We start from the raw sequence: 23,100 nt of genomic DNA, 5'->3' as shown, positions 1-23,100 counted from the left end.
GTGGCTTCCATGTATGATAACATTTCCTTTAAAACATGTAATATTTAAAGTTCCATGTGGTTTTTGCAAGCAAAAGTAATGAAGTTAGCATGAGAATAGCTAAAATTTAGGAAACATTGATTGAGAGATATAAAGAATGTGCTAGAAACTTTCAGTGGAAACGAGATTAAACACAGCCCCGATAGAGTGGCCCACTCTATTGTGGTGAGAGGCTAATAGCTACAAAGAATTTCAGTCTGATAAAGAAAACCATGTAGGGTTCTGAAATCACAGTAAGTGAGCCCAGCCCCAATCTCTCACTAACTGTGGGAAATGAGCATGACTCTCAGATATGATTCCATACAGAAAAAGTGGGAAGCTGGCCAAGTAGGACTGAGAATATCACCATGGAAGTTACATGCTGCGTTTGTTGATAGTGCCTGTAAATAAGACCTCTAGCCCAGGGGAAAACAAAACAAAACAAAAAAAATCAAGGCTGTCAGAACAAAATGTCAGGCATGCTACAGGTTGATGCTTCGATATATAAAGACCTCTCCTCTAATGCTGTGAAGGTCACTCTGGCCTGTGTTATCTCCTGGAACATAAATTTAGCTTACAGTCCATTTTTGTTTTGGTTGTTATCTAATTTCATAATGAAGTACCAAAAGAGATTCCTAGTACAATTTTTCCCCCAGTATTAGCTATATAGTACTTCATACACTAGATGGAGCCAGCTTTATAATGCTTTGGGATTCGTGAGCAGGTTTTGTGTTGTACTTGAAAAAAAAAATCATTACACAAAGTTACGGGAGAGCTGTGTGCTAACTAAATATACTTTAAATGTTTTAAATTTTCATTTCAGAGGTCAAAAGGCCCTATCATTTTAGCATTTTCTATAACTCTTAAGCTTAAATTAATATCAAAGTATCAATAATACTATAAAATGTGTATTTCAAATATATAAATCTTGTAACTCATTGGTATTTAACTTCTTTATTAACATGTATTTATTATTATAGATTTTTAAACTGACAATTTCAAAAAGATATGTACTTTTTTTTCTTTAAGTGTTTTTTTTTTTTTTTTTTTGCTTATGGGAAATGGAAGCAATTTTTAAATGCAATGCAATGAGCATGATCATCTCCCTTGGACTTATAAAGACTGCCTCTGGATTAGGAGGGGTTTAGGGCAAAGAGAGTCACACGTAGGCAGAATGTAGACCATGAGAGCAGAAAAGTAGTCCCTGGGGGGCGGGGGGTAAAACTGATAACATGCTTACAACATGAGGGGGCTGGTCTCCAGGACCAGTAAAAGTCAACTACCAAAAGACAAAAGAAAAATACCACTGTTCACAGTCACCAACCTAGGGCTGGGATGGGGCAGCAGGGAAGTACTAAGAGGAAGGTAACTTCTGTGATTCTCTCCAGTCAGTCATGGTAACTCACTGCCTTTTCACTGAATTTTAATACTTTAGAGGAGTAATCCTCAACAAGGGACAATTTTGTCCCCATGGGACATTTGACAGGTCTAGAGACATTTTTGGTTTTTGCAAACAGAGAAACAAGTGCTACTGGCATCTAGTGAGTAGAGGCCAGGGATGCTGTTAAACATCCTACAATGCACAGTATGGCCTTCACAAGAAAGAATATCTGGCTGCAAAGGTCAATATTGCCCAGATTGGAAAACTCTATTGTACAATAAGCACCTCTTTCATACAGAAGACAAAATACAGTCAGCCCCTCTGTATCCATAAGCTCCACATCCACACATTCTGCCAACCATGGATCAATAATATTAAAAAGCAAACAAATAAAAACAATGCAACAATAAAAAATAACACAAATAAAAACTCAATATAGTATAACAACTACTTACATGGCATTTATGTTGTACCAGGTATTAGAACTAATCTGCAGGTGATTTAAAGTATATGTAAGGATGTACATAAGATATATGAAAATACTACACCATTTTAAATCAGACACTTGAGCACCCATGGATTTTGGTATCCAAAGGAGTCCTGAAACCAATCCCCCAAGGATACCAAGGACAACTGTAGTTCCACCTCATTGTAAACATTAAATTATTAACAAAAAGTTTTAAGTCTATGGGACACAATACATGATTTACTTCAGTCTATCACATATGCCACAATATTAGGGTCAGTGGGTCCAGGGATTAATGATTAAGAGGGAAGTGATCAGCTGGGCTCGGTGGCTCACGCCTGTAATCCCAGCACTTTGGGAGGCTGAGGCGGGAGGATCACGAGGTCAGGAGTTCGAGACCAGCCTGACCAATACGGTGAAACTCTGTCTCTACTAAAAATACAAAAATTAGCCAGGCGTGGTGGCGTGCACCTGTAATCCCAGCTACTGGCAGGAGAGTCACTTGAACATGGGAGGCGAAGGTTGCAGTGAGCTGAGATCACACCACTGCACTCCAGCCTGGGCGACAGAGTGAGACTTTGTCAAAAAAAAAAAAAAAAAGACGAAAGAGATCAATAAACTGAGGAATAATATTAACACAATGCATCACTACACATCAGTAAACATGAGTGATATGCCTTTACATGGATAAAATCAAGACAGATGTGGAATGAAAAAAGAAGTCACATAGAATCTTGCCTTATGACCCCATTTATTTAAAGTTCAAAGCATAGTTTAGTGATGTAGTCAACGATTCTAAAAGTGTAATGAAAAGCAAAGGAGTGATTAGAACAAAAAGGATGATGGTTAACTAGGTAGGGAGTAAAGAGGAGAATGCCTCAAAGATGAGGCTTCCAGAGGGTTCTATTTTTTAAGATGGATGGTGGGCACATGGTTATTCATTTTATTGGTCTTTACTAAACGGACAGGTATTGCTTTCTATATGTATGATATATTTAATAATAATAATATTGAATATTGTTAGTAATGAAAAAGTTAAAAAATAAGCCATATAGGGAAGTAAAGAAATGGATACGGCAAGTATAAACTACTCTTTAAAGACATTAAGAAGGATAATAGTGAATTTTGGCATAATTGGCTAAGGTACCACCAGGGTCAGAGGTATCTCTTACTCTTCCTTCCCCTTAACCCTCTACCGAACAGATGCTTATCACATCTTATCTATCAACCACCATCTCTGTTCTCACAGATATTCTGACATGGTGAAACTCTGGCCTGGACTACTAGGTTGTTCTGACAACTTCCCCCAAAATATTATACACCTACTACTAGATAACACTTCCTAAAGCACGATTTTGCTGTTTTCAGGCAACTATGGTCACAAAATTAATGGTTCATCACTATACAATGAATGAATTTTTTTTTAATGTTTTATTTAGACTAGCAATCAAGCACCAACTTATCCTTCTGGACTTATCTATTGTAATGATTCAAACCAATATAAACAACTTATTCTCTAACTCTAGCTGTACACTCTTGCTTGGGGTGTTCTCTTGCCTGGAGTACTACTCTTCATGCACTCACCATCCCTATCAAAAAAACACTACGTATTCTTCAGTAAAATGAAAGGGAGATGTATTACCAAATGTTGGTGAAGAACAGAGCAAATGGCACACTCAGATGCTGCTCCTGAAGGTGTAAATTCACAGAAAGACTTTTGGAAAATGGTTTGCAGTATCTACCAAAAGCTGAACATGTGCATGCCTCATAACCTAGTAATTCCATTTCTTAACCCAAACCAGATAAATTTATATGTGTGTTCACCAAAAAGCATATAGCAATAATGTTCATTGCAACACTGCTCATAATAGTGCAGAACTCTAGGCAAACCAAATTCCCATCAACAGTGGAATGGATAAATGGTGATGTAATCATACAATGGAATATCCTATGAGAATGAACTACTGCTACATACAAACAAGGGATAAATCTCACATACATAATGTTAAGCGAAAGAATCCAGATATGAGAGTACATGCTGTATGATTTCATTTGTATGAAGTTAAATAAAACCCAGACATGATTAATCCATGGTGTTAGAAGTCAGGATAGTGATTATACTTAGAAGAGGGGTTGACTAGGAGGAGGCACAAGGGTGCTAGTGATGCTCTATCTTAGAGATTGGGTGCTAGCTATCTGGTGAAAATTCCTCAGGCAGTGCATGTAAGATGTGTATACTTTTCTGTGGGAATATTATATTTCAGTTAAAAGTTTACTAAAAATACTTTAAAAATCTACCTATTCTTTAAGACTATTCCTTGACAAACCTTCTTCACTTTCTTAACAATCTTCCTTGATCCCATCTAGATGCCTCTTTCTCCTCTAATGTCCCATAATATAATTATAATCTTAAAATCACCCTAAAATTGTTTGTATATGTTTGCCGAAAGAGATGGTTACATTACTGAGTGCATGGATCAGTATTTCCTTTAGGATTTCCCATAAAGCACTGCATTATAGCAGCTCACCAATAAATATTTGTGAGGTTTAAATTAAATTTATGAAATTTAAATTACATATATCGGCCTTTTCAAAGCAACATTTCTTTGTGAGCATGTGAGCATATTGGGTAAATGTTTTCATCTCCTTTTTTATTCTTTTACTTTTATTTAGATACACTAAAATTCACCTTCCGTTCGAGTTTTGAGATGCACAGAGCCATGTCACCACCAGCACAATCAAGATACAGAACAGTTCCATCACCTCAAAATACTCTCTTGTGCTACTCCTTTGTAGTCAAAACAGCCCCCATCTCCAATCCCAGAAACCACCTATCAGTTTTCTGTTTCTATGTTTTGCCTTTTCCAGGATGTCATATAAATGGAATCATATAGCATTCAGGCTTTTGAGTCTGTTTTTTGTCCCTTAGCAAGTGCATTTGACCTTCATCCACATTGCTACAGGTATCGGTAGCTTGTTCCTTTCTATCGCTAATTAGTATTCTATTGTATGGATAAACCACAGCTTGTTTATCCTTTCACTAGTATAAGGACATTCAGGCTGTTTCCAGTTTGGGGTAATTATGAATAAAAGGTGCTATCCATTTTTAAGATATACCAAAAAAAGAAAATTTGCAAATGACTGAGCCAAGGTCACAATTACCAATAATAAAAAGAAATGGTACATACTTTAAAGAAACCTATAGGAAAAGTATAAGTCAGTATTCCTATGTCAATAAAATCCAGCTCATAATATATTTTCTGTAAAGAGATTTTAAACTAACTTTTCTATATTTGGTACACATTAATGAGCCAGAGTTCAGAAGTATCCAACCAAAGCACCTTTCCAAAGGTTCCTTCTTGCCAATGTGACCCTGGTGACCAGACTATTATAAATAACTTTTATGTCTTGATCTATGTGTAACTATTCATCATTGCTGTGTAAGTCAGCAATGATGCCCAACCAGCCTCTGCCTTTTATCTGACCTACTGTACTCATTTGCAATGCACAGAGTGGGTGGCAAGTGATGGGCCCAGCACTTGGGGGCTCCATGAGCATGCAAAGAAACAGGCTACTTAGATGATTATGCAGAGGGGGTAACTACAGCTGCACTTATTTCTGTTGATTTAGACACAAAACAACATATGTCCAAATCCTCAGGGGCAGACTATCACAAAATTTCCATTAGCTGGCATTCTGGGTGCCTGTCTGGGGAGCCTGAGCCACTGTCTATCCAGGGTCAAGGCCACAGGGAATGGAAATGCCCAAGAAAAACATTTTAAGGAGGTAGCTGCCTTGCACCTGGCACCATAGTTAATGACAGCACATCGGTTCTAAGTCTTTAAGACTCAAAAGCAGCATGCAAACAATCTTTCCTTTGCAGGTTTTTGTTTCTCTGCAATAGTCACTAGGAAAATCATGAGAACCTCATTGTTTGGCCCCTTTCAAAAGGTTCTTAAGTAATAATAATAGCAGCTAATTATGGAAGGTATGCTATGTATTCCCAAGCTAAGCATTTTATATGCATTACCTTATTTTAATCTTCAATAACAACCTTCTACCTTTAATATTATTTTAGTATCCCTTTTACCAATAAGGAGAATGAGACTTTAAGAGACTGTATCACTTGCCAAACGGTTTGCAAAGAAGGAATTCAACCCAAGGCACAGTTGGAATCTAGATCCTATGTTCTTAAGCCACAGGCTATATCACCTCATTGTCTAACTAGTAACTACATTCATTCATCTGAACACTCCAAAAATATTATCCTATTATATCCATCTAGGGAAATAAACATAAATATGATATGCTCCTTTCCTCTGGGAGCTTATTACTTATGGGAGGGTGGGGGATCCTATAAACAATAAACACCTTGATCTTTTTGGTCAAATACTTTTCTGAGATTCATATGAAAACTACAGACTTCAGAGAAAATTCACACAGGCATAGACACAAAAAACTCGATTGACTGCTCAGACCACAGGTTAGGAATCCCTGGAATACTTAACTAGCTGACCACAAACTGCATGGAGTTTTGATTAAGATAAGAACAAAATATTATGAGAATTCGAAGGAGAGACCCCAGAGTAAAGAAGTCCTGAAGATTGAGAGGTATATAAGTCAGGCAAAGAAACAGGGATGATGGACCTTCAATGGTGAGGTACATGCTAGGAAAAAGAGCTAAAGAGGAAACAGGAGGAAAGTAGGGAGAGGCAACAGGCCCCTGAAATGGTCCAGGCAAGAGTTTCCTACTTCTAGAAAGGATGTAGCAAGGATGAGGTATCAGAGCCCAGGCTCTGGGGTCAGAGAGTACTAGCCTCAATTCCAAGCTCTTCCCATTTCTCATTAGCTATTCACCCAGGGGGAAATTACTCAAGCCTTCTAAGCTTCAGTATCGTCATCTGCAAAATGAGCATAAGAACAGTCTCAACTTCACAGGCTGTTGTGGAATAATGCATAGATTAATGCCTGGCATGTACTTTGCACAGAACCTGAAGTACAAGCAGTGAATACACTGCAGCCACTATAATAAACATTATCATCACCGCCACCACCATCTTGGTCACCAGAGCCTGATACGAACATGGCATCACAAAGGGAACTCCTCTAAAACAGCACCGTAACTGAAATCCTTAATTTACATCCAGGCCATCCTGCTTCATTCATAGACCCAAGAGGTACTGTAGAAGAATCTTTGCCCGGCCGGGCGCGGTGGCTCACGCCTGTAATCCCAGCACTTTGGGAGGCCGAGGCGGGCGGATCACGAGGTCAGGAGATCGAGACCACCCCGGCTAAAATGGTGAAACCCCGTCTCTACTAAAAATACAAAAAATTAGCCGGGCGTAGTGGCGGGCGCCTGTAGTCCCAGCTACTTGGGAGGCTGAGGCAGGAGAATGGCGTGAACCCGGGAGGCGGAGCTTGCAGTGAGCCGAGATCCCGCCACTGCACTCCAGCCTGGGCGACAGAGCGAGACTCCGTCTCAAAAAAAAAAAAAAAAAAAAAAAAAGAAGAATCTTTGCCCAAATAATTTCCAGTGCAAAAAGCTATCTCTCAAATTCCTTCCTTTGTATACTCACACCATATAATTTATTCTCATTAATCACACAATAATGTGAGAAGTACATTCTAGAGAAGGGGGGAAAATTATAGAAGTCTTTGGGATGTCTGTGGTGGGTTTGTTTTTGAACATCATCAGTGTCTGCTCTTTCCTTACATAAGGATAGAGATCACGAGCGAAGCAGATGTGACATGATTGTCATTGCCATCATGTTCACAACAAGCATCTGAAAACATAAATTTTTGCAAAGCCCTTTTGCACTCAGTTAGTCTTTGTCACCACTCTGAGCATGATATTACCGTGCAGAAAGAGAAAAATGGTACAAAACATTCTACTCGATTCTTCTTCATTGTGTTTTCAGTAATCATTTATTTTAAATTCTTCCTGTGGTCTAAGAGCTAACATGAAAGTATCATACTGGAATCCATCCATGAGTGCTCGAGGAAATGTGTGGAGAATATTGTGTTTTGATTCCTCAGCCATGGTAATAGACAGAACATTCACAAAACCCTTGCTCTTTAAAATATTCCATGGCCAGCCAATATTTGTCAGAGTGATATTGCCATAGAGTCAGCTCTGGAAAAATAAAGTCATGAGAAAACACAAGCATTTTCATCTTCCCCAGAACGCTGGCCAGGATATCTGCTTATCTCTGCCATCTATGCTGACACCATCTACAAAAATCACAATGTTCCCCTCACTTGAAAAGCACACAAATGAAAGGAAAGCATAGGATTCCAACAATTCTCTCTGAACCCAACAGACTGCTGTTATAAATTCGCAAAGCTTTCTTCCAGCTTTAAATTTGTTCTTCTGCAAGAGCATCGTAACAACTGAGTTCATTCTATCTACACGGAAAATAAGCAGAAGAAAACCTAATCGTTCATGAACAAGAATTTTTTCATGAAATAGAAAAGAAGGAGTTGAAGCTGATGGGAAATAATGTGGCCAGCACATCATTAAATGTGGAAAGAGCTCTTAGGCTATGAAGCATGTGGGATTGGGAACATGGTAGTTAGGAAATACCCATGTGTTATCTGAATCAAAATAAGAATTCCTGTTATGAAGGGCTTCCCCAATGGCTTTTAGAAAATCTGATATAAAGTCTCAAGAAATGAAACATGGCAAAGTCTTGGAGGAGTCCACAAAAAAGCCAGAGAAGTGTGAGTTACGGAGTAGACTTTTCTCTCCATCTGAAACCTGTTCCATGTGAAAGAAATGATTTTTCACCAGAAAAGATCATCAGTCACTAATGCCACTAACAGAATCCATTCAGCTATTTAGTGAATGATTTTTTTTCATACTTCTGTTTCTGTAACTGCTAGTTATCCTTCTCTGTACGTAACACACTCTTGGAGTTAAAAATACAACCCCTGGAGTCAAACTACCTGGTTCTGCCACTTACTAGCTCTGACCTCATTTCCCCATATGTAAGTAAAGATAATAACTAAATGAGTTATGCAAATAAGACATTACCACTAGGTCTGGCCTTCACGCCACTTTTCAGCCTTTTCAATCTCCTCTAGTTCTAGTGTGTCCTTCTTAGGAAGGAAACAGGCAGAATGTATGATGTCTTTCCAGCATGACTCCAACACTGTCTTCCGAAAGAGCTTGAAAATGCATCCCTTGATTTTATTCACTCTTTACCAAATATGTACTGAGCTCTTACTGTGAGCTCATGGGTACTACATTAGAAGTTGGGATACACTAAGGGAAAAAAACGGATACAACAACTAAGACACAATCCTTGCACTTAGTCTGCTTCCCGCTGTCCCACTGTCCTTATAGAGGGTGACCAATATTTAGCTGAATTTAGAGGACTGTCTCCCAATCAGTGACACTAATGCCCTCAAGAGGAAACAGTCAAAGAATCCCAGGTCCCTTTCCTGGGTCATAATAATCCCCAGTTTGATGTGTAGATGTGTCTTGCTAAGTGCAGAAAATATGGAATTATCATTAAAGAGAAATTCCTTGGACACATTTCAGGACTAGGCATCTTCCTTGTCATTAATCTCTGGGATTGTATTAAACAATCAGCTAAGATCCGGCTTTTGAGATGCATTATATTCCTTTTTTTTTTTTTTTTTTTTGAGAAAGAGTCTCACTCTGTTGCCCAGGCTGGAGTGAAGTGGCACACTCTTGGCTCACTGCAAACTCTGCCTCCCGGGTTCAAGTGAGTCTCATGTCTCAGCCTCCTGAGCAGCTGGGATTACAGGCACACACCAACATGCCTGGCTAATTTTTGTATTTTTAGTAGAGACAAGGTTTCACCATGTTGAGACCAGGCTGGTCTCAAACTCCTGACCTCAGGTGATCTACCTGCCTTGGCCTCCCAAAGTGCTGGGATTATAGGCATGAGCCACTGCGGCTGGCCAAGATGCTTTATATTCTTTTAAAACCATTGTTGTGTCTATCTGTTAACTGCACAAATATTTACCAAATGCTTACCAAGAGCCAAGGACTAGACTTGGCACTGGGTAGAAACTAGTAAGGCATGGTCCTTCTTCTACATAGAATCTTAGCATTTTAGAGATGAGTTCCCAGACATGGTCCAGAAGGTCACAGTTCACACCATTAGGCAAGGCAGTATTTGAAATAAAAGTCATGTCTAATACTAAATCCAGTATGTTCTCTCCTTCAGGATTTTACTCTCATTGCTGCCCCTTGGTTTGCTATGCTCTTCCCCAGACAGCTGCACAGCTCATTTAATTTAGATCTCATTTAATTTAGATCTCTCAATTAATTTAGATCTCTGTTAAAAAAAAAAAAAAGCCCTAGGCAGCAAGGTCTAACATATCATCCTCAAATTAAAGAGAAAGCCCTTTGGTGTTATTTTTCTTTATAGCACTTACCAACTCCCAGTAGAATGTAAACTCCAGTAGGGCACATATCTTTGCCTCTTTTATTTACTGCTCTATTCCCAGCACCAGAACAGTCCTTGCCACAAAGTAGGTGCTCAATAAACATTTGGTGAATGAATTAACCTAGTGTTCTTTTTACCTACACATGCACACACAGAGCCATGACACTCCTGCCGAGGAAGCTCGCGGCTCTAAGAGGGACATTAAAGAAAAGCCAATTCAGTGCCTGCCAAAGAGTAGAACATGTTTTGACAGCAGGATCAGCTTGGGTGGTGGACCAACAATGGGTTGCAGACCAAGAAAATCAAGGAAAACAGGACAAGTAGCATTCAGCCTCAGTGTCATGGAGGCAATGGGGGAGGTAAGGAAAAGATGTGGTGAACTAGACACAAACACATCTAAAGGCTAACTGGGTCTAGTTGTGTCTTCATATTTCTCAAGGAGATATGGAAATCCCAAATTGTATGTGAAAATTACTTAACTCTTCAGTTCTTAATGCAAAATCATAGAGAGTCAACCAACTTTAGGTACAAAACAATGTATGTACTGAATGTCTCATGTTTTCTCAGAGTTTCTGTGAGGAAATAGCAAAAAAAAAAAAAAGAAAGAAAAAAGAAAAAAGAAAAGAAAAGAAAACAAAGAATTGCAGAGCTCTGAATGGTACTAGAATCAAGTAGACTCAAAAATAGGTCAGAAAAATAGCTGAAATCACTTTAAATTTACTAGGCCAAAAATAAAAATAAAATGATCTGGGAGAAAGAAGTCATTCTCCTAATTTTAATATTTATATATTTAATACCTCTTGCTTCTTTCTAAAAGGACTTAAAGCAATTTATGAAAAAGCACACAACATCCCAAGATGAACCAATGATGGAAAATTAATATAAGTGGATGAAGAAAATAGAATGAAGGAAACATAATTCAAGAAAAAAATAAAATGAGTTCAGGAATAAGATTAGTACACAAATGCAAATAAAAGCCTGCACGTTTTCTAGAGGTGGGTCACAAATTGCTTTCTAAGCCAGAGGGTTTACAGTTAAACATCTACAGGGCCCAGGCAGGTAAAATTAAAAAAAGTAAAACTGAAGAGTGCCTGTTCTATTTTAAGGAAAATGGCAATACTTTATTGAATCCCATGGTTGCCATAGTGACATGAGAGTTCAATGTTACCAGATCTGATTTTTCAGTAAATGCTAGTAATTCAAACACACTTGTGTGAAATTGTCTCAGCACTGGAATGCTGGAAAATAGTTTTTCTTTTTGTTTGAAAAAAAAAAGCTGTTTAAGTTCCTTGTAGATTCTGGATATTAGCCCTTTGTCAGATACATAGATTGCAAAAATTTTCTCCCATTCCATAAGTTGCCTGTTCACTCTTATGATAGTTTCTTTTGCTGTGCAGAAGCTCTTTAGTTTAATTTGATCCCATTTGTCAATTTCAGCTTTTGTTAGCCATTGCTTTTTGTGTTTTAGCCATGAAGTCTTTGCCCATGCCTATGTCCTGAATGGTATTGCCTAGGTTTTCTTCTAGGGTTTTTATGGTTTTAGGTCTTATGTTTAAGTCTTTAATCCATCTTGAGTTAATTTTTGTATAAGGTATAAGGAAGGGGTCCAGTTTCAGTTTTCTACATATGGCTAGCCAGTTCTCCCAAAACCATTTATTAAATAGGGAATCCTTTCCCCATTGCTTGTTTTTGTCAGGTTTGTCAAAGATCAGATGGTTGTAGATGTCTGGCATTATTTCTGAGGCCTCTGTTTTGTTCCATTGTTCTATATATCTGTTTTGGTACCAATACCATGCTGTTTTGGTTACTATAGTTCTACTACAAGGACACATGCACATGTATGTTTATTGCAGCACTGTTCACCATAACAAAGACTTGGAACCAACCCAAATGTCCATCAATAATAGACTGGATAAAGAAAATGTAGCACATACAGACCATGGAATACTATGTAGCCATAAAACAGGATGAGTTGTTTTCCTTTGCAGGGACATGGATGAAGCTGGAAACCATAATTCTCAGCAAACTAACACAGGAAAGGAAAACCAAACACCACATGTTATCACTCGTAAGTGGGAGTTGAACAATGAGAACACATGGACACAGCGAGGGGAATATCACACACCGGGGTCTATCGTGGGGCGGGGGACTAGGAGAGGGAAAGCATTAGGAGAAATACCTAATGTAGATGATGGGTTGATGGGTGCAGCAAACCACCATGGCATGTGTATACCTATGTAACAAACCTGTACGTTCTGCACATGTATCCCAGAACTTAAAGTACAACAAACAAACAAACAAACAAAAACGGTATGGGTCAAAGAAAATATGTCTGTGGCCATAAAGAGGAAGAAAACATGATCAGTTACATGACTAACTATATACATAAAATAAAAACCCAAAGTTGTGTAGAAGTACAGTCATTTGTGGTATTGAAACCAGAGAGACACTTCACCCAAGAGTCTTCATAAAAAGGACATTGTAACACCCACAAGACAGACACCCCATACAATAAAGATTTGTAAGGCTCTATCTTGTAACGAGATTCAATGGGGGCAGAGGCATAATATTAAGTATAATCCAGTAAAACTAATTGCCGGGGGTGGAGGGAGGATGCACAAATTTTCAGGGATATCAAAATCTCAGAATAGAGATTTCTGCTGGCCTAGATTATTTCTGGTAGAGATTATACAGATTTCCCTGAACTATTTTATAACCAATGACCCCTTTTGATAAATGTAAATTTCTCACGCCTTCTTTCAATATTGACACTTTGGAAATGATTTCTCAAACAACATACCCTTCTTCCCTCGTTGTTGGGTATCCAGAGAAACAAATGAACATCTGTTCTTCACACTGTAATCCATAGATATTGGTTTTTCATAGCAGCATTTCATAAGTATTGAGTACTTACGGAGTACTCATTGAGTACTCAAGGTTATAGTCCCTGGCAAGGACCTGGAGCGAGGTATTCTATAGGGTTTTCAGTTCAAGGCCATTTGCTTTACTGGACAGCCCATCTGGCAGTGGAACTGAAAGTTGTCAATGCCAAAGCCCTTGGCACACCTCCAGACTCCAGCCAGGGAAGGATATGTAGGTAGGACCGAAACTCTCCACAAGAAAAATAACTTTCTGTGTCTGTTCCAGGTCACAAACAAACAAACAAACAAAATAAAGTTTACACCACACAGCAGTGCTCTGTGGAACCCCTGGGGTGGTGATGGGGAGGTTGGGTTCCACACTGGGCTCCTGACATACCTAGAGCTAGTGCAGCTTTTTTTCATCCATCTCAGTCAGTTCTGCCATCACGTTGATTTTGGAAATGCAAATTTGTTACACAGTAAACAACTTGAGCATATCCCCCAAGAATTTTGGTTTGCTTGTGCGTGATTCTGTCTTCAAGAAACAGTAGGTGAACACCCTGAAAACTGCACCCAGCTGCACCAAGCACACACTTCAAACATCTACCGGCTACCTCCGTTTACTAAGAGTGTTATGCATCACACTCATTCACTTCTGATGCTATAATTTTTGATCCAGTTTCAGATAAGCTTCCTTCTACCACTGCATAATAACTCACCAGCTGCAACTCTTCTGAAGCCACTTCTACAAGCAAAATCCAGGTGTTATTCAAAGCAAAGTAACAAGTTTGTTGTTGTATTAATGTATCGCTTAAATTAAAGGGTATAAATCTGTCTACTGTGTTTATTAGCTTCCTATCTTTTCTTTTTTCAGATGTCACTGATGAAATTTTTTAGCATTGTGCTCCTAGCCCCATTTTTCCTATACATCGTGTGTTGTCTACTGCATGATTTTGGAGTAGCCTGATGATTTTTTAGAAACACATATGTTGTGTTATAGCAGAACTGACTATACTTGGATTTTACATAAAATCTTATTTGAAAAAATGAATTTTGCTAGAATGTAAGTTCCACTCAAAGCTACTATGCTGCCCAACTACAGAGGACACCGCTCACTTCATATTTGATAGGTATCATGTTTACTATTAATTCATCAACGGGAGATTTAACAAAGAGTTATGTAAAGCTTAACATATGTCATGAAAGTATACTGCTCCGAAGAATGTATTTGCCCACTGTGGTAAACTAAAGGCAAACAAAAATATATAAAAAACAAATTATTCATCATCTTCACAGGTAAACATTTTGATATTTTTCCTTTCAGTCTTTTTTCTTCGTACATATAACACCACTATCCCTGCCCTGTGCACAATTTCACTTGACCTACTTATTTTAGCTTGGCTTTAAAATTGACCTGCCACTTCTAAATTAAATATGATTTCTTTTCAGAGACGAAAAGAAGTACTGCCAAATTGACTCAATCATTTAACATTAATTAATTAACATTAATTTAAGATAGTGCATGCTTTCTGCTGAGCACTGTGCTCTGTGACATACAAATTAGAATATTCCATAGTCTGTGCTTAAGCACTAAGAGGACTGATTAAAGTTTCCAAATTTGGCACAGCTGCAACCTTTCTTACCCTTAAGATGAATTACTATTTTCATTCCAGTTCTAAGATTTGTTAAAAATATAAATTGTATAAATAGCACACTCAGAAAAGAAAATGGACTTGTATTATTAGTGTCCTGCAAATTACAGCTTCAAGAATTGCATCCTGCACTTTTTATCTATCACCTTTTCAAATATTATACCACCAAAATTAACTATACAAAACAAAGATGTGTTTGAACATTTTAAGCAGTAAACATACACATTAAAGTGTCATGAAGATTGCCTACTATTTTTCCCTCTTCTTTCTTCCAATAATTATTTTAAGATCTGATTATTTTGTATGTGTGAATATGGATTTAAGGGTTTAATAAATTACATCGAAGATATATGTACTTAAGCCTAGTCTTGAATGTATTCTCATCTACTAAAAGGTGAAATATGTCTGTCATTCCATAAGCTTAATTAAGTTTCTGAACTGGCAACACACAACTAGGAGTAAAAAGCAGTTTAGAGGCCTGGTGTGGTGGCTCACACCCATAATTCCAGCACTTTGGGAGGCCAAGGTGGGTGGGTCCCTTGAGGCCAGGAGTTCAAGACCAGCTTGGCCAACATGGTGAACCCCCATCTCTACTAAAAATGCAAAACTTAGCTGGGCATGGTGGCATGTACCTGTAATCCCAGTTACTCGGAAGGGTGAGGCACGGGAATTGCTTGAACCTAGAAGGCAGAGAGGTTGCAGTGAGCTGAGATCGCAGCACTGCACTCCAGCCTAGGTGACAGAGTGAGATTCTGTTTCAAAAAAAAAAAAAAAAGAGAAAAAAACAGTTTTGTGCTTCATCCTGAATCACCTTTCGATGACATGTTGAGAAATACTGACAAATGATGACAACAGGACAAAATCCAAAGAGGCTGGATAATTCACATATCTAATAATCTGCTCTGAAATCATTGATAATTAATTTTCCTGTCGATCTCTTTTTTTAAAAAAAGCTCTTTGGTAAGTCATTATGGAGGTTAAAGAATGGCAGAAGAGGTGCCAATCTCCACCACATTTTATTCTTCCCTTTCCGAGGTGCCAATCTCCATCACATTTTATTCTTCCCTTTCTCTCATTGAAAGGAGCAATTGTCTTCTTATTCTAACAATGTCTGGATGGTAGCTGAGCCTTCCATCAAGACTCCTGTCCCTTTCAAAGACCTCTGTGTATATGTGACACGATGGATTAAGTGTTCCAGCTCACCCCGGGCAATTAATTTTCTCAAACCTCACAGTGGTTCACCTTATTGTGCCCATAGAAGTGTTCCTGGCACAGCCTTTTGAGAAGGGGTGAAAGCAAACCCCATCACATTTCTACCAAAGAAGATCTCACAGCAGAGGACAGATGACCACCCTTGCAAGGAGGACCAGAAGTAAGGTCTAGGAGTGTGGTCTGGACTGACCCTTAGCAACAGAGATGTCTCTTTATAGTATCATCTCAGATTCTATTCCATAATATACCCTTGCTTACATCAGCATTTAAAAGCTCCTAAATTACTGATCAGCTGAAATGGGATACTTTTCTACCCTTACCCAAAATATTCAAGAATTACTGATGTCCCAGAAAGAGAGGCCACATTAACCTCCCACTTCACACAGCCCTTGCAACAGGGTTTCAGACTTGGGGAGGAGGGGTGTGGGGGGAGGGGGATGGGGTGCAATTATTTATATGTGAGATCCACAGCACTGAGAACATAAATGCTTTCATTTTTAAAGGTCCTAATGTGAACGTTTTCGTTTTTCAAAAAATCAACTGAAATTCCCTTACTTTTTTTTTTTTAAATATCGGTTTCTTTCGTGGGTACTGAACATTAATGAATGGAAAGTCGGTTCCCTTCTGAGCCCCCACATAGATATAACTACCATTCAGAATAGCTGTGGGCCACTGACATGCCCCAGCCCCTCACGGTGGCCTCCATGAGCTGAAACGAAGTGGGTAGGACAGCTCAACCAGCCGATGGCTGGGAGGATGCAACTAGACTCTTCCTTTGAAAGAGCACGTCAAAATTCCGTTATTCATTAGAGTATCCTAAAATAGACAAGAAGATAAAATCCTCAACTATGCTAGGCACCGGAAGAAAAAAAAAAGTAATCACAAAATGAAAACTGCCTTTAAAAAGTAATTAAGGTTAAACTTAAAAAAAAAAAAAAGAAAATCACATGATTTTGTTCCTCATACTATAGTTAATGAAAAGGGGCATTTATCTTCCAGTGGGAAAAGCAGTGTTTTTATCATTTCATCAGAGATCACTACAAAGCTCATTTGTAACGGCTTGGAGAATCTTCACTTTTTTTTTCAAGAACCAAAGTTCTCTGGAGTTAGAACCCAGCCACTTATTCTAATGTCTAACATTCTCCCAAGTCCCTTTAAAAGAAAAAAAAAAATGAACTTCACATTGACTGATGCATGACATTGTTTCAGTACAAAAATGAAAAAAATGAAAAACTGTGCAGGTTGAAACCATTATTCCATGTCATAAAGCAGCAGTAATGGCCACTCAGCAAAATCTAAACCATTTTTAAGGTCATAAACAAGCACATAAAGTGTGCTACCCTAATTTATTGGAAACCTCCTCTTGAAAAGAAAGGTTCATGAAGGGCTGCAGCTCAATCATACTGCTCTCCACACTTCAGCCACAGAACTTACACATGACCTTTGCAATTCCCCTTGCAAATTCTTTCAGCACTTGGGCATTTGACTTTTAAAATTAGGGGGAGGTAAGGCAAAGCTACAAAAATGAGCAGCAGGAACACTAGAATATGCTGAAATGCGACCAATGTCTTTCTTACAGAAGAAATGCAGGCAATATTGATTTACAGAATCTAATGCAGAGAGCAACTAGTCAGCTCTCCATTACCACTTTATATTTTAAAACCAGAAAAGCAAAATCAGACTTACCCTGGGAAGCCATCCTATAGGCTGACTCAGAAAAATAGCCTGTTGACAAGCCAAAAAACAGTTACAAACCAATGCTCCAGAAACGCACAGGGTTTAATCCTCCCATCCACCTACTAACCCCTGCTACTACATATGCGTCTGGTTTTTATTAAAGAACTTCTGCAAATGTACAGTGGATGAGTAATCATTCAGACTTCGTAAAACATGCCAAATCCGTCACTAATAACAGTTGTTTCATTTACTCATCACATTTTTGTGTGCCTCTATTTTTTTTTTTTTTAGCAAAATTAGTGCTTTTGCTGACGTAAATTCCCTGCCACCTGGGCATGCATATAGTGTCCAAAAGGCAGGAGACTGACTATTCTGTGTATAACTTTTTCTGAGTCTTTATCAGTTGTAATGTTGAACTAATGTGAAACGCATAGCCTACTTGACAAACCATCTTTTAAAATTAATATTACCACTATTTTCCTAAGTACAAGAACATTTCTATTCAATTCTACTCTATCTTCTTTCATTTAAAAAGGCAATTGTTTTTTATAATAATAATTAGAAATGCTAAAGAATATTAAGCATAAATTCATTCCTCACTATCTCCCCATCTAATCCATTCTGTAAGATATAATCACTGCTGGCAATTTGAATGCACCCTTCCAGAACGTTCTATGTACATATTATGCAAGTGTGTATACACAAATACACACATGCATACACACTTCAAAAAACCCTTGGGGACTGATGAGTCTTGAACATCAGAGTTTTCCAGATTTTATAGAGATAATAGAGATCATATACAGTATAGTACTCCAGTGAGATCAGGGCAACAGTTTGTAATCAAGTACATTAATATTTCTGCCGGGAAACATATGAATATTCAATTAAGTGGAACAATGAAGACTATAAATAGCCTTGTGTCACTTCAGGTCAGGTAATTCTGCCAATGAGGTATCAGACAAAAAAAATCCTTCGACATTCAGAGAATTTTGGATTTCAGATTTGAAGATAAGATACTTCAGACCTATTGTTTTTCTCCCAGTTAGATCAAGTTTTGGAAACTTTAACTATTTTTATTACAAATGTTTATGATTGGAAATTTTTTAAATACACACGAACAGAATTTAAGTCACCTATAAAATCCCACTAGACAGATAATTCAGCTTTTATTCGGTCATATATTGAGTGCCTCTTGAGAGTACAGGCTCAGTACTCTGTGGGCACATTAAAAAATTAAAGCAAACACAACTCCTGTTTTCAAACAAGGTAGAAAGTAATACCTGCCTTAAAAAATCAAAAGGTATTGCGCTACTGAAGCTCAAAGGCAGTGTCAAGTGGACACGTATTATCTTTTAGGCTGCCCAGCACCTTTTAAGATACTTCCTGTGCTTGAAAAATTCCCCTTCTAATGAATGTAGAGGGAGACAGAGATAGCTTTGACTTTAGAAGCCAAAGGTTCACTTTCCCAGACTCTCTTGTAGCTAGCATGGAGACATATGCCTTCAGGTTCTCAATCAGATATATCTGGGACAAATAGTGTGAAGCTGTATGTACACTGGCAAGGAAAGATGCAGCTACATCTGGAAGCCCTAAGGGTCAGGGGCTTGGCTGTGTGGTCTAGTGGTCCACATTGGGGACGTCAATGGTGCAGGCTGCAGTATCTGTGCCCAGTGAGGGCAACATCAATATTTCCATTGGATCAGTTCTACAACACGCTGGGGGAATCAGTCCTGGCCAGTCAGCCTCTGGTTTGTTTCTCTGGCCTCCAGGGACCCAGAGCTCCTAAAAATCCTTTAATATACACATGAATATATCTTTTTCTGCTTAAACTAGGGAGGGTTCAGTTTTCTGTTGATACAACCAAAAAATCTGACTGCTACAAGGAAGAAATTTCATTTAACAAAGCAAGGCAGCACAATGTACTGAAAAGCTGAAAAGAGCAGTTTCAAAATTTGACTGTTATCCCACCCTGTCCTAACTGGCTCTGGACCCACAGACAAGCTTATTGAATTATTTGCTCATCATATCTATAAAATAATAAGATCCACTTTGTAAAATTGTCATGAGAAAGAAATGTGTTCTTTCATTGTATTCACTCTCTTGTTCATTCAAGTATTTATTGAGCTCCTACAATATGCTACACACCCTACTCAACGCCAGGTACTAGGGTTGCTGGATGTAGCATTTAAACCTACCAGACATCTGGTTAAATTTGAGTTTCAGGAAAACCATAAATAATTTTTCAGTATAAACATGTCTTACATTTGGCATATACTTATACTAGGATATTATTTGCTCAATAATGTTGCAGGATACAAAAATCAACATTAAAAAATCAGTAGTATTTCTATATGCTAATAGTGATCTACCTGAAAAATAAATCAAGAAGATAATTCCATTTACAACAGCTACCAAAAAATAAGCTATATAGGAATAAACATAACCATCAGGGTAAAAGATCTCTACAATGAAAACTATAAAACAAGGAAGAAAGAAATTGAAGAAGACACAAATAAATGAAAAGATATTCCATGTCCATGAACCGAAAGAATTAATATTGCTAAAATGGCCATCCTATCCAAACCAATCTATAGCTTTATTATAATTCCTATCAAAATACCAATGACATTCTTCATAGAAATAGAAAAAAAATCCTAAAATTCATATGAGATCACAAAAAAACCCAGAATAGCTAAAGCAATTCTGAGCAAAAAGAAGAAAGAAGCATCACACTACCTGACTTCAAAATATACTACAAAATTATAGTAATCAAAACAGCATGGTACTGGCATAAAAACACACACAAAGACCAATGAAACAGAATAGAGAACCCAGAAATAAATTAGCACACCTACAGCCAAATGACTTTTTACAAATGTGCCAAAAACACTCAATAGGAAAAGGACAGTCTCCTTAATACATGGTGCTGAGAAAATCAGATATTCATATGCGGAAGAATGAGACTAGGCCCCTACCTCTCACCATATACAAAAATCAACTCAAAATGAAATAAAGACTTAAATGTAAAGCCTAAAGCTATGACTCTACTAGAAGAAAACACAGGCAAAATGCTTCACAACACTGGGCTTGGCAAGGATTTTTTAAATAAGACCTCAAAAATACAGGCAACAAAAGCAAAAATAGACAAATGGGATTACATCAAACTAAAAAGCTTTTGCAAAGCAAAAGACAATTAACAGAGTGAAGAGACAACCTACTGAATGGGAGAAAACATCTGCAAACTAAACATCTGACAAGGAGTTAATATCCAGAATAGCTAAGGAACTTAACAGCAACCAACCAACCAAATAACTCAATTAAAAAATAGAAGCTGGGTGCATGCCTGCAATCCCAGCACTTTGGGAAGCTGAGGCAGGTAGATTGCTTAAGCCCAGGTGTTTGAGACCAGTCTCGGCAACGTGGCAACACCCGGTCTCTACAAAAACTACAAAAATCAGCCAGGCGTGGTGGCATGCTCCTATAGTCCCAGCTACTTGGGAGATTGAAATGGGATGATGGCTTGAGGCAAGAGGTCAAGACTACAGTAAGCCATGATCGTACCATCACACTCCAGCCTAGGTGACAGAGTGAGACTTTGCCAAAAAAAAAAAAAAAAAAAAAAAGGTAAAAGAGCAAGCTTAATAGACACTTTTCAAAAGAAAATATACACATGGCAACAGATATGAAAAAAGTACTCAACATCACTAATCATCAGGTAAATGCAAATCAAAGCCGTAGGGAGATACTACCTCACTCCAGTTAGAATGGCTACTATCAAAAAAAAAAAAAAAAGAAAAGAAAACAAGTATTAGTGAGGATGTGGAGAAAAAGGAACACTTACACACTGTTAGAGAGATTGTAAATTAGTACAGCCATTTTGGAAAACAGTAGGAAGGTTCCTCACAAAATTAAAAATATAACTACCATATAATCCAGCAACCCTTCTATTGGATATATATCTAAAGGAAATGAAATCAGTATGCCAAAGAGATATCTGCACTCCCATGTTTATTGCAGCACTATTTACAATAGCCAAGATATGTGATCAACCTAAGTGTCCAACAACAGATGAATGGATAAAGAAAATGTAGTATATATACAGAATGGAATATTACTCAGCCATAAAAAAGAATGAACTCCTGTCATTTGCAGCAACATGGATGAAACTGGAGGCTATCATGTTAAGGGAAATAAGCCATACACAGAAAGACAAATATCATATGATGTCACTCAAATGTGAAATCTAAGGGGTAAAACAAGCTGACATCATAAAAGTAGAAAACAGAACAGTAGTTACCAGAAACTAGGAAGGGGATGGGTGAAGAAAGGATAGGGACAGGTTAGTGAACAGATACAAAGTTACAATTAGATAGGAGGAATAACTTCTGGTGTTCTATTGTACAGTACAGTGACTGTAGTTAAAAGTAAGGTATTGTATTTTACAAAACAGCTAGAAAAGAGGTTTTTGAATCTTTTCACCACAAAGAAAACACATATGCATGAGATGACAGATATGTTAACTATGCTGATTTGATCATTATGCAACACACACGTGTCAAAACATCAAATTATACCCATAAATATGTACAATTATAATGTGTCCATTTTAAAAATAAATTAGTAAAATGAAGGTAATATTTGTTTTGAGTCACAATTCAAGTTTCACTGAGTATCCATATTTAATCTGGCAATGCTACTGGGTGCACAGTAGTGCATGAAAGAGGCATGGCTACTGCTCTCACAGACCTTCAGTAATAGAGGCTGAAGGAATGCAGGTGGACAGGCAATAAAAAGGCAAACAATTACATACAGTATAAATAGGGAAGCAACCATATACAGTGTAAACAGGGAAGCAACCACATACAGTGTACATAGAAAAACCATCACATATAGTGTAAACAGAGAAAAAAGCACATACAGTGTAAACAGAGAACCACATACAGTGTAAACAGAGAACCACATACAGTGTAAACAGGGAAACAACCACATACAGTGTAAATAGAAAAACAACCACATACAGTGTAATGTAAACAGAAAAACAACCACATACAGTGTGAACAGGGAAGGAACCACATACAGTGTACATAGAAAAACAATCACATACAGTGTAAATAGAAAAACAACCACATACAGTGTAAACGGGGAAGGAACCACATACAGTGTACATAGAAAAACAATCACATACAGTGTAAATAGAAAAACAACCACATACAGTGTAAACGGGGAAACCACCACATACAGTGTAAACAGGGAAACAACCACATACAGTGTAAATAGAAAAACAACTACATACAGTGTGAACAGGGAAACAACCACATACAGTGTAAACAGGGAAACAACCACATACAATGTAAACAGAAAAACAATCATATATAATGTAAATAGAAAAATAACCACATACAGTGTAAAC

At 37.8% G+C, this 23,100-nt stretch overlaps 1 protein-coding gene across 8 annotated transcripts in view; it reads right to left on the bottom strand.

The window, feature by feature from the left end:
* Window positions 1–23,100, bottom strand: part of MITF (melanocyte inducing transcription factor) — a 228,869-nt gene that overhangs the window by 112,004 nt on the left and 93,765 nt on the right. The window contains exon 2 of one of the 8 annotated variants that reach the window (NM_001354608.2): window positions 17,697–17,735. The exons of the other annotated variants lie outside the window; for them this stretch is intronic. The gene's annotated coding sequence lies outside the window, so the exon portion shown is untranslated. The remainder of the gene's footprint in view (window positions 1–17,696; window positions 17,736–23,100) is intronic. 8 annotated transcript variants of the gene reach the window in all.

The sequence above is a fragment of the Homo sapiens genome, chromosome 3, assembly GCF_000001405.40.
Source record: "Homo sapiens chromosome 3, GRCh38.p14 Primary Assembly".
Taxonomy (NCBI): domain Eukaryota; kingdom Metazoa; phylum Chordata; class Mammalia; order Primates; family Hominidae; genus Homo; species Homo sapiens.
This window is presented reverse-complemented; position numbering and strand designations above follow the sequence as displayed.